The 15,221-nt window shown below is 37.7% G+C and overlaps 1 protein-coding gene and 1 long non-coding RNA gene across 7 annotated transcripts in view; one reads left to right on the plus strand and one right to left on the minus strand.

Annotated features, from left to right (window-relative positions):
• CYYR1-AS1 (CYYR1 antisense RNA 1) overlaps positions 1-15,221 on the plus strand; it is a 175,618-nt gene that overhangs the window by 122,176 nt on the left and 38,221 nt on the right. Inside the window, exon 4 of one of the 2 annotated variants that reach the window (NR_135516.1) lies at positions 2,712-2,783. The exons of the other annotated variant lie outside the window; for it this stretch is intronic. This is a non-coding gene — a long non-coding RNA (CYYR1 antisense RNA 1). Of the gene's footprint in view, positions 1-2,711; positions 2,784-15,221 lie in introns of those variants that run through there. 2 annotated transcript variants of the gene reach the window in all.
• The window catches only part of CYYR1 (cysteine and tyrosine rich 1), a 107,071-nt gene that overhangs the window by 49,595 nt on the left and 42,255 nt on the right, over positions 1-15,221 (minus strand). The gene's annotated exons all lie outside the window — the stretch shown is intronic.

A 15,221-nucleotide genomic window follows, 5' to 3' on the forward strand; every position in this document is an offset into this window, starting at 1 on the left:
GTTTTAAGTACTAAAAAAAGGCATAAGTGAAATTTCACTTTCTTAGGCTCTTTCATATGGGCAATTTTTCCCTCAGAAGTTTGTTTCCACACTAGCCCTCCCCACCTTTTTTGACTTGATTCTTTCCAGTCAATGCAATTCTTTCTGGTCCCTGAAATTCTATAGAATGAAGCAGTTGTATGAAATGTAAGAAGTTGGCGTATTTAAGGTAGACTATGGCTCTTTGCTTTATACCACTTGCAAAGCCAATGTTGAGTACCTGAGTCTAAAAATACTTTTCACTGCCAATCACATGTACAGACTAGGTTATTTGGTGTATAATCTGATTACCAGTATTTAATGAAAAATACTGATTGCATCCTAGGATCACACATCCTTCCAAGAAGTTCTATTTAAATCACTCTGTAATTTCTCTTACTATGTAATTTGCATTGTGACAGTTTGATAGTTTATAAGGGCCCTTTGAAAGCCAACTTGAACTGTAGGGCAAAATGTATTTAGCACATTTTTAAAGCACATTAAAAAAGACTTGTCATTTGATAAATATTAATGCATTTATTAATAGATGACCAATGGCTGCTAAATGATGACAAAAGTTTGAGATTTCAGTGACTACAAGCAAATCCATTGCTATTGAAGTTAAAAATCTGAAATGCATTCTTCTGAAAGTTGCACTCTAAAAATATTGATTGCAGAATATCAAGCTGAACGATTCTGTTACATGACAAGTTCTCTAGTTTTGATGAGTTTATAGAGATCTCCCAAAATATAATCAATTTTTAATTGTCTGTTTAAATAGGCAATAGTATCTGTACATATTATGTATGATAATGGTCAAACTCAGATTCACTTGTATTGGCCTCTGGAATGTTTGATATATTTTAAGGAATGTGTGATAATTGATTTGCTTCAAAATCCTTTGCTTAACTGAATATTAACATTCAGCTATAAGCTAGCAAGTAATGAAAGGATTCTAGGGAATAATAAAAGCAATGTTTAGCCAGGATTTAAGAATTCACTGGGGGCCGGGCGCGGTGGCTCACGCCTGTAATCCCAGCACTTTGGGAGGCCGAGGCGGGCGGATCACGAGGTCAGGAGATCGAGACCATCCTGGCTAACACGGTGAAACCCCGTCTCTACTAAAAATACAAAAAATTAGCCGGGCGTGGTAGCGGGCGCCTGTAGTCCCAGCTACTCGGGAGGCTGAGGCAGGAGAATGGCGTGAACCCGGGAGGCGGAGCTTGCAGTGAGCCGAGATCGCGCCACTGCACTCCAGCCTGGGCGACAGAGCGAGACTCCGTCTCAAAAAAAAAAAAAAAAAAAAAAAAAAAAAAGAATTCACTGGGATAATCTATCAAATTATAATTTTGACTATAATCAAGGTTAAAAATAAGGTACCTATCAATAAAATGAGTTATTGTGAAAGAAATAGGGCAGCTCTATAGTAGGATTAGTCAAGCCTGTCCTTCTGCAATCCATTGTTTACTTCATATTATTAGACAGTTTTAATATGGTATTACTTCTAATCTTTCAAGTATCTTGTCAGATAAATCTAATTATTTCTGAGAAGTGGCTTGCAACTGAAAGAAAAATGTAGCAGAAAAACTTATTTGTCTATCTAGCTATATTTAGTTTGAAAAAAATAATTCCTCCTTTTTCTTCTATCTAAAAGAAGACTCAGATGGGGAATGGGGTATATTAAAACTTCCTGGAATGGGGAGGAGAATTCCAAAATTCAAGAGAGCCCAGACAGTTCTTTTTTGGAGACAGAGTCTTGCTTTGTTGTCCAGGCTGGAGTGCAGTGGCATGGTCTTGGCTCACTGCAACCTCCATCTCCCGGATTCAAGTGATTTTCCTGCCTCAGCCTCCCGAGTAGCTGGGATTACAGGCACACACCACTATGCCTGGCTAATTTTTGTATTTTTAGTAGAGACAGGGTTTCACCATGCTGCCCAGCCTGGTCTCGAACTCATGAGTTCAGGCTATCCTCCCACCTCGGCTTCCCAAAGTGCTAGGATTACAGACGTGAGTCACCGTGCCCAGCCCCAGACAATTCTTTATTAAACCTGTAAGAGATGCCAGAAGATTTCCACACAAGAACATACAGGTATTTCTTGGGGGACCTCAGCACTTGTCTGTGACTTGAAGGCTTATCAGTATTCCTCTCACCTGACCCTGAGGTCTTGGCCCACAATAACAACGAACCTTTGTTTCTCAGCACTCACACTGATTGACTGAACACAGCCATGTTGAACAGGTTGGATTGTTAAGAAAGGAGTGATTTCAAACTTGGGTGTGATCACTCCCTGAGGATTTGGGAAGGCAATGCAGAGACAGTGTCTTGGTTATGAAAGTAGAAATCAGCCGCTATGTGAATGTGACCACCAGAAATTCCAAACTTAGACCACTGACATTGGTTGTCTGAGACACTAACATCTTTTTTGCCCTGTGTTCTGGTTTGAACGTCTGTTCCACAACTCATGTTGAAATTTAATTGGCAATGTAATGGTATTGGGAGGTTGGGGCTTTAAGAGATGAGGAGGTCATGAATGTCCTGCCCTGATAAATGAATTAAAGTTATTATCCCAGGTGTGGATTAGTTATTGCAGTGGTGAGCTCTTGATAAAAGGATGAGTTTGACCCGATTTCTCTCTCTGTCTCCTGTGCTCACTTCTGCCTCCTGCCTTCTGCCTTGGGATGACCCTTGCCAGATGTTGACACCATGCTCTTGGACTTCCCAGCTTCCAGAATCATGAGCCAAATAAACCTCTTTTCTTTATAAATTACCCAGTCTGTTGTATTCTGTCATAGCTGCAGCAGACAGACTAAGACACTGCTGCTTTAATCTCCTCATTTGTGAAATGCAGAAATCATGCTACTTTTATTGATGGCAGCTCCATCATTTATGATGCTGCCTGACCAATATCATCCTAAAACTCAGCCTTCTGACACTTAACAAATGCTTCAATAAATTTTGATCCCAGTTCTTTAACAATTGACTACCTCAAGAAAAGGATGGGGCTCAGGATCAGGGTATCACAATGAGTTCTGAAATTAGGCAGTAATTTACATTTTTGGAGTATCACTGGAATCCGTACAACTTTTTTCCTGAAGTAGAATAGCTTTGGGTAAACCATCCTTGCTCCTTCACTCAGGCCTGTTTGTGATCCACTGCAAACAATTTAATATAGTTCCTAAGGTTAGAGGTGGTTTTTGGAAGATAGTTCCAAGTCTTATACATTTTTGTATCCCTAGAATGAATTAATAAGAAAATCTTAGGCTGTATAGCCAATCTATTCATTCATTTGATTCAACAAATATTTATTGAGAGCTTACTATGTGCCAAATACTATTTCAGATGTTTGGAATATATCATTAAGTAAGATAACTGTCCTACAAGAGATTACATCCTGGAGGGGCGGGGGAACAGGCAATGCACATAATAAATAAGTATAAATATTGTCAGAAGCTATAAAATTGTACAAAGTATAAAAGAATGAGTCAGCCAGGATCAGGGGAAGGGATGTAGAAGAACTGGGAAACAAAGACTTGAAAGTGGTGAAGGAGTTGGCCAAAGAGACATCTGGGTAACAGCATACCAGACAGATGGCACAGCTAGGAGAGGGACCTGAAGGGAATCTGACATACTCAAGCAGTGAAGTCAATGTGGCTGAAGGAAAGTGCATATGGGAAAAATGGCAGGACATGAGGTCAGAGGTTAAGGGGCCAGGTCGTGGAGTAACTTGTAGGCCATTTAAGACTTTGGCTCTTACTCTGTGTGAAAAAGGGAAAGTACTGAAGCGTTTTGAGCAGAGCAGTGGCATAATCCTATCTCAGGTTTTTGAAAGAAATAACCCTGGTTGCTGGGCTGAGAACAGACTATCTAAATTGAGAATAAAGTAGAGATATTAAAAAGAAACAACAGATGCTGGTGAGGCTGTAGAGAAATAAGAATGCTTTTACACTGTTGGTGGGGATGTAAATTAGTTCAACCATTGTGGAAGATAGCATGGTGATTCCTCAAGGATCTAGAACCAAGGATCATTTCACCCAGCAATCCCATTACTAGGTATATACCCAAAGTAATATAAATCATTCTGTTATAAAGATACATGCTCTTGTATGTTCATTGCAGCACTATTCACAATAGCAAAGACATGGAATCAACCCAAATGTCCATCAATGACGGATTGGAAAAAGAAAATGTGGTATATATACACCATGGAATACTATGAAGCCATAAAAAGGAATGAAATCATGCCTTCTTTTTCTTTATTTCTTCTTCTAAAAAAAAACCCAGGAGATATATATATATATATATATATATATATGCAGAAAGTGCAGGTTTATTACACAGGTATCCGTGTGCCATGGTGGTTTGCTGCACCTATTGACCCATCCTCTAAGTTCCCTCCCCTCAACCCCTACCCCCCAACAGGCCCTGGTATGTGTTGTTCCCCTCTCTGTGTCCATGAGTTTTCAATGTTCAACTCCTACTTATAAATGAGAACATGTGTTGTTTGGTTTTCTGTTCCTGTGTTAGTTTCCTGATGATGATGGCTTCCAGCTTCATCCATGTCCCTGCAAAGGACATGATCTCATTCCTTTTTATGGCTGCATAGTATTCCATGGTGTATATGTACCACATTTTCTTTATCCAGCCTATCGTTGATGGGCATTTGGGTTGGTTCCATGTCTTTGCTATTGTAAATAGTGCTTCAGTAAACATATGTGTGCATGTGTCTTTATAGTAGAATGATTTATGTTCCTTTGGGTATATACCCAGTAATGGGATTGCTGGGTGAAATGGTATTTCTGGTTCTAGATCCTTGAGGAATCACCATACTATCTTCCACAATGGTTGAACGAATTTACATTCCCACCAACAGTGTAAAAGCTTTCCTATTTCTCCACAGCCTTGCCAGCATCTATTGTTTCCTGATTTTTTAATAATCGCCATTCTGACTGGCATGAGATGGTATCTCCTTGTGGTTTTGATTTCTGTTTCTCTGATGATCAGTGATGTTGAGCTTTATGCAACCAACAAACATATGAGATCATGTCTTTTGCAGGGACATGGATCGACCTGGAAGCCATTATCCTCAGCAAACTGATGCAGGAACAGAAAACCAAACACTGCGCGTTCTCACTTGTAAGTGGGACCTGAACAATGAGAACACATGAACACAAGGAGGGGAACAACACATACTGGGTCCCGTCAGGGGGTGCGGAGGGAGGGAGAGCATCACGATAAATAGCTAATGCATGCGGGGCTTACTACCTAGGTGATGGGTTGATAGGTTCAGCAAACCACCATGGTACATGTTTACCTGTTTATCTATGTAACAAACCTGCACATCCTGCACATGTATCTTGGAACTTAAAATAAAATAAAATTAAAAACTTTTAAAAGAGAATAAAGTAGGGAGATGAATTAAGAGGCACTAATCCAGGTGAAACAGTTTTAAGAGATTAAATCAGCATCCTTGGTTTCCCCATCAAATAACCCATCATGCTAACCAGCCCAGACTGATATTGCTTTACATGTATACGAAAGACATCTGGTTAAATCAAATAGCACTGCCAATCAATTTTCACCTAGAGATATGCTCAGGTATTTTCTTAGTTCTTACATTTTGTAAATAGGTGGTATGCTGAATGGACATCAAATTCAATAACAAATTCCCATAAGAAACATCAGGACTAATTTATCCAAAAGGAACATTCAAATTAACATCAATCAGCAATAGCAAATAATGACCTACTTTATCTTGTACTGATCTTGACTAAGGAAAGAATTCATGATGCACTGCTACCTCTATTGAACTCTTGAGTATATCTCATTCCAAAGAGAATGGTGAGCAAAACATTGTTTCATTTGGGTCATGGATACATGCTGTATATTCCAGTCCACCCACCCATAGGTTACTCATGACAGGGCCTCTAGATAGAGGCAGGACAATTATATATCAAAGAAGAAAATATGAAAAGACAGATAAAATATTTGCTGATGTTTTATAAAGAAAATTCAGTGCACTTCTTTATCAGTCAAAGGTAGTATTTTCAATGTTTTTCTCTTTGTTTTGGAGCCGTACTGTCTCCTTTGTAGCTGTTCTGTCCTTCAAGAAAGGACCTGTGGTGGTATGGATTGAAAAGTTGACTCTGTCATCACCTTACAAATGAATTCTATCTGAAGTGAAAAGTCACCAACAGTTTTACATTGATGTTGTGTTGTTCCATGTGGTATTCTGTCAAAACTACGTGCCTTCTTGAACAAAGATTTCACCTTTATTTTTAAGCACATTTCAACCAACCACAGTATCAGACACTTCCACTAGGAGGTTAATGAAAATTGGCAATATGGACAATATTCCCACTGTAGAGAAGATTTACCATATATTTTTTAGAAGTTTACAGAAGGTACCTTGACCTAGTCTTGATCTACTCCATAAATGGGTTTAAGTGGACTTGAAAGTCCCTAAAATTATTCGCAAAGTTGTGAATCTGTTATATGATCCAGTAGCTTTTATCAGAACTTCAAAGGCATCTGTAATGGCACTTCCCCTCAAAAATTTTTTAAAAAAACTTTAAAACAACACTGACATAGAAATATGCAAAGATGGTATTTTTAAGGGTTATTTATATTTAGGGAGAATGCTCTCCCAAATTATAGACAGTTTGCTTGCAAAATTTAGTTCTGTTTTGATTAAAATGGACTTTTTGCTTTCACATCTTACATTTCCAGAGAAAATATTTTATTTTACCAATTATAATGTTCCATAGTAGGATAAACCTTAATTTATTTCAACCACATTTATGAGCACTCACTCTACACTGGAGGATATGATGATGCCACAAAGATAAAACACCACGTTCCTGCCCTTGAAAATCTACAGTCTATCAGGAGAGATGGAGACACAGCTGATGATCATATACAGTGAAAAAACCCAACGAAGGAAATGAATTCAAGGGCAGTTTTGTTCTCGGGATAATTGAATTCTGCCAGAAGTTATTAAGACTGGAAAGGTGAATACGTTTTTCCAGACACAGGAAGAAATCAAGAGTGTTCTGAGCACAACAAACAATAGGCATGAAAGCGTGAATGTTCAGCTTGGTGGGAGCCCAGGCTCTGAGGAAGGCTTGGCTGAAGGGAAGTCTGGACTTCGTCAGGAGGCAAAGGATCTTGTGCATGTTAGGTGATGAGGAAATATTGAAAATGGTAAGATAGAGGAAAGATATAATCTGAATTATTTTCGAAGTTTAACTGTGGTGAACGAGATGAGGACAGATTGAAAGTATAATAGGAAGCTGCCAAAAAAAGGCAATTTTTTGAATTAATAACATAATATAGTTCTGGCCTCTTTTCTAGAAGTTATCCTACTTTTCTTTGTCTAACTTTGTCCTTCTAATCTGTCAGCAATTACTATTGATGCTACCTCTAAAACATATTCTGAATCTACTCATTTGTCTTTATGCCTGTGCTGTTATCTGAGGAAATGCCCCCTTTCTCTCTCTCTTGCTCCCCTGAGATAATTCCAAAGTTGTGTCTCTGCTTCTTTTCTTACCCCTCACAATCTGTTCACCACATGGCAGCAAGTGGCCTTTTAAAATAAAATACCAATCAGATCATTCCATTCCCTTATTTAAAACTCCCATGGCTTTCTGCTATGCTTAGGAGTCACATCCAACCTCTGCATTGCGGTCTGCCGGACTCTGTGTCATCTGACCTATGTCAACTTCTTTCTGCCTACTATCTCATTTTCTACCACTCATTCACTCAGTTATGATGCTCCAGCCACTCCAGTGTTCTTCCTGTTATTGGACCACCTCAAATTCTTTCCTGTCCTAAATCTTTGGCTAGAAATACTCTTCTCCTTCATTTCTGGGACCTTTTCAGGCTCTAGATCAAATGTCACCTTCTCAGAGAAGCCTTTGTGACCACTCAACCTAATGTAGGCTGCCCAAACTCATCACACCATCTTGCCTTCAGTACATTTTCTGAGCCACAGACAATAGGCGTTACTCCCCTCTGGAGTAATGATCAAAAGTAGGGAAGATTAGAGTAGATGGGCATGTGGCCCAATTCCACCAACTGGAACTGGGACTATTTCCCCATAAGAACAAAGTAAAAATTCAGAGTTTTGATAAATTTGTGGCTCAATGAATGAGCTTTTGTGAGACAGTTAGCATCCTGGCCACCAGAGATTACATAATTTCCATCAGAAAAATATGTTCTAAGGTCCAGGTTTACCATTAAGACAAATATATTCATATGTGTATATATTTCATTTGTAGGTTAAGGGTGGCCTATACTTGCTACATTTAAACATTTCATATGCCGGGGGTTGTTTTGCATGTTGGTATTAGAGCTCGAACCATGTAGGTATATGTATTTAGATATTTGTACTTCTTATTCCTTAACTATTTTATTTCTCAAAATATATGTTTGCTCTGACATTAAATGCAATCCTATATCATTAAAAAGTGCTTACTCTCATCTTAAATCAACTAGGCTAACCAAATTTGCTACTCTTGAATTTAATCCAACAATTTCAAACATTGTTGGATTAAATTGCTTACATTGAATGTTTTGGCCGCTCCAATCAAAGTTGATGTTGTGGAAAGCAGGAAAATATATTTGGCCTGTATGTCTGAAATCCTAATTCTCTTTCCTCAGCAACAAACTGTACAAGACATTTAAAAACAAATTACCTTGTGGTAGAGAAATAAAGGCTTAGCCTTGCTTTAGGCAGTTTTGTTGGATTCAGATGGCTGGAAGCTGAACATGCTTGGTCATCAACCTGGAAGCCAACCACTTAGTAATGTCTTGCCCTTCTCTCTCTGTGTAATTGACTTTTTAAAAAATTTTGTTAATTTAACATTTTTGTGTACACATATAAAAGATCACTTAGCAAATAACCATGTACCCATTATCAAGAATAAACTGCCATGAGCATTTTGTCACTTTGCTCCACATATTTTGTTTTTTTAAGAAAATAAATGACTACAGGTAAAGACGATGTTTGTAATATTCCCCTCTACAGCCTTATTTCCAGTGCCCTTGACTGAGAAATGTCAATGTCATGCTCACTTTATAAGAGAAATGCTGAAAGGAATCCATCTGTTCTCACAGAGCATGTATTGAAGGGTGAATTTGGAGCTAAGAGGCAATAAATTGATTACTGGAATGGGAGTTGTAGAACATTCCCTCCGTCATCCCCTTTCTGATGCCCTACATGAAATCCTCAGTACCATCTTCCAATTCATTAAATCTCTCTACAGATCTAATTCTATGCAATTAAAAAGATTTCAGTGCCACATTATTTTTACTTTCAGTCTTTCTACTTCCTTTTCCTCCTCCTCTTTCTTCTCTTCCCTTTTATCCTACACTTTTTTTCATTTCTGCCTATTTTTCTTCATTGCTCTTTCAAATTTTTTTCAATGAGTTTCTACCTTTATGTCTTTAAGAATATTAAAAAATATTATTTTGAACTAATTTTCAATGGCTCCATTGTATTATTTTATTGCAGTCATTTCATCCTCTTGGATACATGGGTGAGCTGACCTCAGCCCCATAATAGCTCAAAGGTCCAAGCAGTGAGCGTGGTTCCAGCCCTCAACCATGAGGGCCTCCCGCCTTGAGCTGAGGACTTTGGAATTTAGTTCCTGCTGCCCCTGCCGCCTTCCTTCCCCAGAGGCTTCAGCACTATCACCTTTAGATTTCTATTCCTATTTTTGGCCCATGAAGATATTTATCTCATTTTTGATCCCTGTAACTTTATAACTAAAGGATGTTATTCTTAACGTGTGTTCAGGATATTTAATAAGTAAATTTATGGCACTATGTTAAATGGAAGTTTATCTGTTTTCTGAAAGGATCCACTTATTAAATAAAGGTGTGCTGGGCTATCTGACCCCCCAAATCCCTATAGTCATTGCCTACATGTGAATCATTTTACTGTGTTAACATTATGGATGGTTCCCATTGAATGAAGAATTATTGCTACTTATTATTTTTTAGCTTGCTGAAAGATAGTTACAGGCAGTTCCTAATTTACTGACATGGATGGAACCAGAAGCTATTATCCTTAGCAAAGTAGCAAGGAACAATAAACCAAATACCGCATGTTCTCAGTTATAAATGGAAGCTAAATGATGAGAACACATGGACACAGACAGGAACAATGGACACTGGGGGCCTTTTGGAGGGTGGAGGGTGTGGGAGAGATCAGGAAAAATAACTAATGGGTACTAGGCTCAATACATGGATGAGGAAATAATCTGTACAACAAACCCCCACGACACAAGTTTACTTATGTAACAAACCTAAACATGTACCCCTGAGCTTAAAAGTTAAGCTGGAGTGGTGTCTCATGCCTGTAATCCTAGCACTTTGGGAGGCAAAGGTGGGTGGACCACTTAAGGTCAGGAGTTCGAAACCAGCCTGGCCAACATGGTGAAATCCCGTCTCTACTAAAAATACAAAAAATAGCTGGGCGTGGTGATGGGAGCCTATAATCCCAGCTACTCGGGAGGCTGAGGCAGGAGATTCGCTTGAAACTGGGAGGTGGAGTTTGCAGTGAGCTGAGATTGTGCCACTGTACTCCAGCCTGGGCGACAGAGCAAAATTCTGGCCCCACCCCCCAACAACAACAACAAAAAAGTTAAAAAAAATTAACCATTTTACAAAAGTTCCATTTTAAACCTCTTACTTGTAAAATAGAAGCTATTCCATGTTAAGATTATGACAACCATTTGAATTATTTTATAAATATGATAATTTCAAAAGTATTTAAAATAATTAACGGTTTCAAAAGAAATAATGAATGAATTCTAATGCCGAATAAGGATTTCAGGAACACATCTTTCTTCCACCTTGGTATCCTGCTATAATATTCAGAAAATCCAAATTCCAATCTTAGGTCAACCAGGTATTAGCTAAGTGACTTTGTGAACACTGTGTAAGCCTCTTTACCTCTTTAACTTTTGGGTAAAAGCTTTTTTAAGTTGTATAATAATTTCTGCTGTTACTTCAGGGTTTTAGGTGTCAAAGGAAATAAGGAAGGTGCAAGCATTTAAACATTTGAGAACCCTACTTGGGAGCACATGATGTGTCCTCCAAACACTATGGTCTTGTTAATTGTCAACACCTGACTCAGAGCAGGCACAAGCTATGTTAAGCACTTATAATGAATTAGAAAATAAAGTTGACCCCAAAGGTGAAAAGGATCTGGGCCTTTTTTTCTTCCCAATATGCAAGTGTGTTCACAACATGAGTGATCAGAAGTCAGGGGATGCTGGGCTATCCCACGTAACTCTATTCTGCACGAGAAACACATATAAAGGCATTTGGACATTTGGAACAAATTAGAGCTACAGTAAAGGCCAGAAACACTGCCAGTTTCCCTCTTGCTTTCTCCCCAGGCCAACATATTACCAAAATAAGTAGTCTCATCAATAAACTAGGGTTTGGAATTTGGAATTAACCAGGCATAATTTCTCAAGTATTATGGCCTCTTTTTTAAAGGCATGAAGTTGGGTAAAATTGATACCTTTTAATTCTGTAAAATATAACCCAATTTACATAACCAAATAAAGTCAAATCACTTTTAATTTTACTTATTGAGTGCTGTACAAACCTCAAAGGTTAGAAAGCCAACAAAAAAAATGCAGAATAGGCAGCTTTTTATATTTTTCCTGAATTTAGAAATTTTTCATTATATGGACAATTATTATTGAAAATATGTGTTTTTATCATCCAGTAAAAATGGCTTATGTTGGCATGAATATACTCCATTTCATTGCTACTTTTGTACATTTCTTTTATTTTGCCTGAATATGGCCAGATGAATCATATATAAAGAAAGCTCAGCTCCTCCAGAACACTGCTATTGTATAAAGAGTACTGCTGCCAAATTCAAAGCTAAATTCAGGTTTGAGGTATCAGAATCTTTTATAGGTCCCGGGAGAATATTTTGTTCAAATAATAGTCCAGTGATTTGAGGGTGTGTGCACCTGTTGATTTTCTAGAAATATAATATTCTGCGAAGTCAGGGATAATGAAGGCTAAGCCATCATTACCTTTTTAAAAATGACAAAGGAATGAACTGTTTCATAAAAGTGTCATATAGAAATTTCAAAAATAAACTACAGAAATTCTATAAATAAAGAGTAAAGGAAAAAAATTCAGCAACACTTAAAACGAGTAAAAATCCAGAGACATCCTGGTAGAAATCTTAGTCCACAGTCAATCAAAAAGAAGCAAATATCACTACAGAAAAACAATTTTGACAGAATAGAAATAAAAATATTCATTGTATTCCAAAAAATAACATCATTTTTGTTAATAGCTAAATATCTTTTTTTAGTTCAAAAGGTTTACCTTTTAAAGCTTTGATTTCTTTTAGAAATTCCTATTAAATACTATTTTCCAGAAATTTGTTAATGCAACTGATATGATTTGGATATGTGTCCCCTCCAAATCTCGTGTTGAAATGTGATCCTTAGTGTTGGAGGTGGGCCTAGTGAGAGGTGTTTAGGTCATGGAGCAGGTCCCTCAGGAATGGCTTGGTGCCACTCTCATGGTAAGGAGGGAGTTCTTGCTCTGGTAGTTCAAGCAAGAGCTGGTTGTTTAAAGGAGACTGGCTCCTTCCTGCTCTCCCTCTTTTGCCCCTTCTCTCACCATATGATGTGCCTGCTCCTCAATTGCCTTTTGCCATGAGTGGAAGCTTCCTGAGGCCCTCGTCAGAACCGGGTGCCAGTGCTATGCTTCCTGTACAGCCTGTAGAACCATGAGCCAAAATAAATTTCTTTCCTTCATAAATTACCCTTCCTCAAGTCTTTACAGAAATGAAGGAATGAACTAACACAGCAACTTTGTAAAGCACTTAAAATGAGGGGAAAAGGGAAAGTCTAAGACTCAGTTCAATCTATTGGATGGTACAATTATTTATATATTTAAAGAGGAGCAACTTCTTGATCAGAAATCAATTTGACCTACAGTTACGGGAGCTTAAGTACTGATTATATGTGGCCATCAGAGAAGAAAACATGTAAGAGATGGAGGAACATTCAAAAAGATCTCTTATAAGCCTTTTCAACAGAGATTTCTCTGGAACAGGTGGGCTAACACTACAAAATTTTGTTGGTTTAGTATGTTTCATGCAAACACAGTCCATTATTAGAAGCAAACAAAGGGCCACAGGTGAGATTAAAATAATTACTCAGTTTTTCCTTGTGATGACTCTTACACTGATACTTTATATATAGTACTTATTAGTCACAACCATTCAGTAGATGTGTATTACCACTGTTTCCTAACATATAATGAAAGTGAGGGTCAGAGGAGGTTAGTAACTTGCCTAAGGTCACTCAGTAAGTGGCATTTAGAGGTGGCAATTTGAATAGAAGCATGTCTAGCTCAAAGTCCATTCTATGTTTATCACATTAGATAATCTTACATATGTTTCTTTTGCATCTTTTTTAGAATGATATACAGAGTTTTATGAAATAATTGCATTTCTGATAAACTGGCTATAAATTACCTTTTATAAACAGAGTCACATATTAATATACATTGGAAGCACTCACTCATTCAACAAATGCCATGCAATGCATTTATAAAGTAATTCATGAAGAAAACAGGTAACCACAATTTTATATAAATTTCAACTACAAATGATAACTCTTAGCTTTGCCTAAAATGGATTAAATCTGTACCAAGTGTGCTTTTGCTGGATCCAGCAGCACTCATTAGCATGGTTTGGGAATAGGTGCCCTCTTGCAGACTTGCAGGCTAGCTGAACCAGTAGCATAGTGCATATAAATGCAGATCCTGAAAACATAGGGGAGTGCGGTTTGCAACAGCCAAGAATGATATCATCAGTCTCTATTTCATTTAATTAAAAATTATCAGCTGTACATAGTGCTATTTTTGACACAGGTCACTGTGGTTCAATGCTATTGGATTTTATCTTATTAAGCACTTAGCTGTTTGCTGGAATGATGGAGGGGCAGAGCTGTGTATTCACAGAGGTTACAGAGTTAGCCCTTAGACCTTTGGTAACATTGAATAGTTTATCCTCAAAGGCTCCTTTCTTGAAAACTTTATGTTATGGCTACCCATCCCATCTTTTCTAGTGACAATGATGAAATGTGTTGAAACATTAATATATATCAACGGAAATACTGACATATGTTGACATACATAAGTGTTGGTAAACAACTCTACAACTATAGTAAATAAATAAACCATTCTTCTATCAGAGACTAGGGCAAACCTAAGCTGTATGACTTTGGATATTACTGTGAAGCTTAGTTTTGCCAGACAATTTTGCTTGTATTTGTATGTTCTGAAAGCCAACTGAGTTGAGAAACTACTTACAGAATTCAATCTGCTCCAGCAGCCTGAATGATTGTTTTGCCCATAATAAAATTATTTTTTATTCATAAATATATACTTTTTAATTTTGAAGTAATCCTAAACTTAAAGAGAAAGTTGTAAGTATAATATAAATAACTATAAAAATCATTTTTGTCTGCAGCATTTTCTGCAAATGTTGCCTCCAGTTATAGTTTTTCTTTTAATTGTTAGGATTTTGTTTTAAATTTAGCCTTAAAATGTGAGTTTATTGGGCATTTTATAATATTAATTTTATTTTTTTTAATTATACTTTAAGTTCTGGGATACATGTGCAGAACGTGCAGGTTTGTTACATATGTATACACGTGCCATGGTGGTTTGCTGCACCCATCAACCTGTCATCTAAATGAGGTATTTCTCTTAATGTTATCCCTCCCCTATCCCCCAACCCCTCGACAGGCCCCGGTGTGTGATGTTCCCCTCCCTGTGCCCATGTGTTCTCATTGTTCAACTCCCACTTATGAGTGAGAACAGGCAGTGTTTGGTTTTCTGTTCTTGTGTTATTTTGCTGAGAATGATGGTTTCCAGCTTCATCCATGTGCCTGCAAAGGACATGAACTCATCCTTTTTTGTGGCCACATAGTATTCCATGGTGTATATGTGCCACATTTTCTTTATCCAGTCTATCAGAGAAATTCATTGACAAGTTTGCCAAGGTCATCACTGATAAAAATGTGACACTAGGACAAGTCTATAATGATGATGCAATGTGACTGTTTTAGTGTTAGTGGCCCAGAAAGACACTGACTACAGCCAATCAGACAGCTCCTACAGGAATTAAGAATGCCAAAGAGAGAAT

The sequence above is a fragment of the Homo sapiens genome, chromosome 21 (assembly GCF_000001405.40).
Source record: "Homo sapiens chromosome 21, GRCh38.p14 Primary Assembly".
Taxonomy (NCBI): Eukaryota; Metazoa; Chordata; class Mammalia; order Primates; family Hominidae; genus Homo; species Homo sapiens.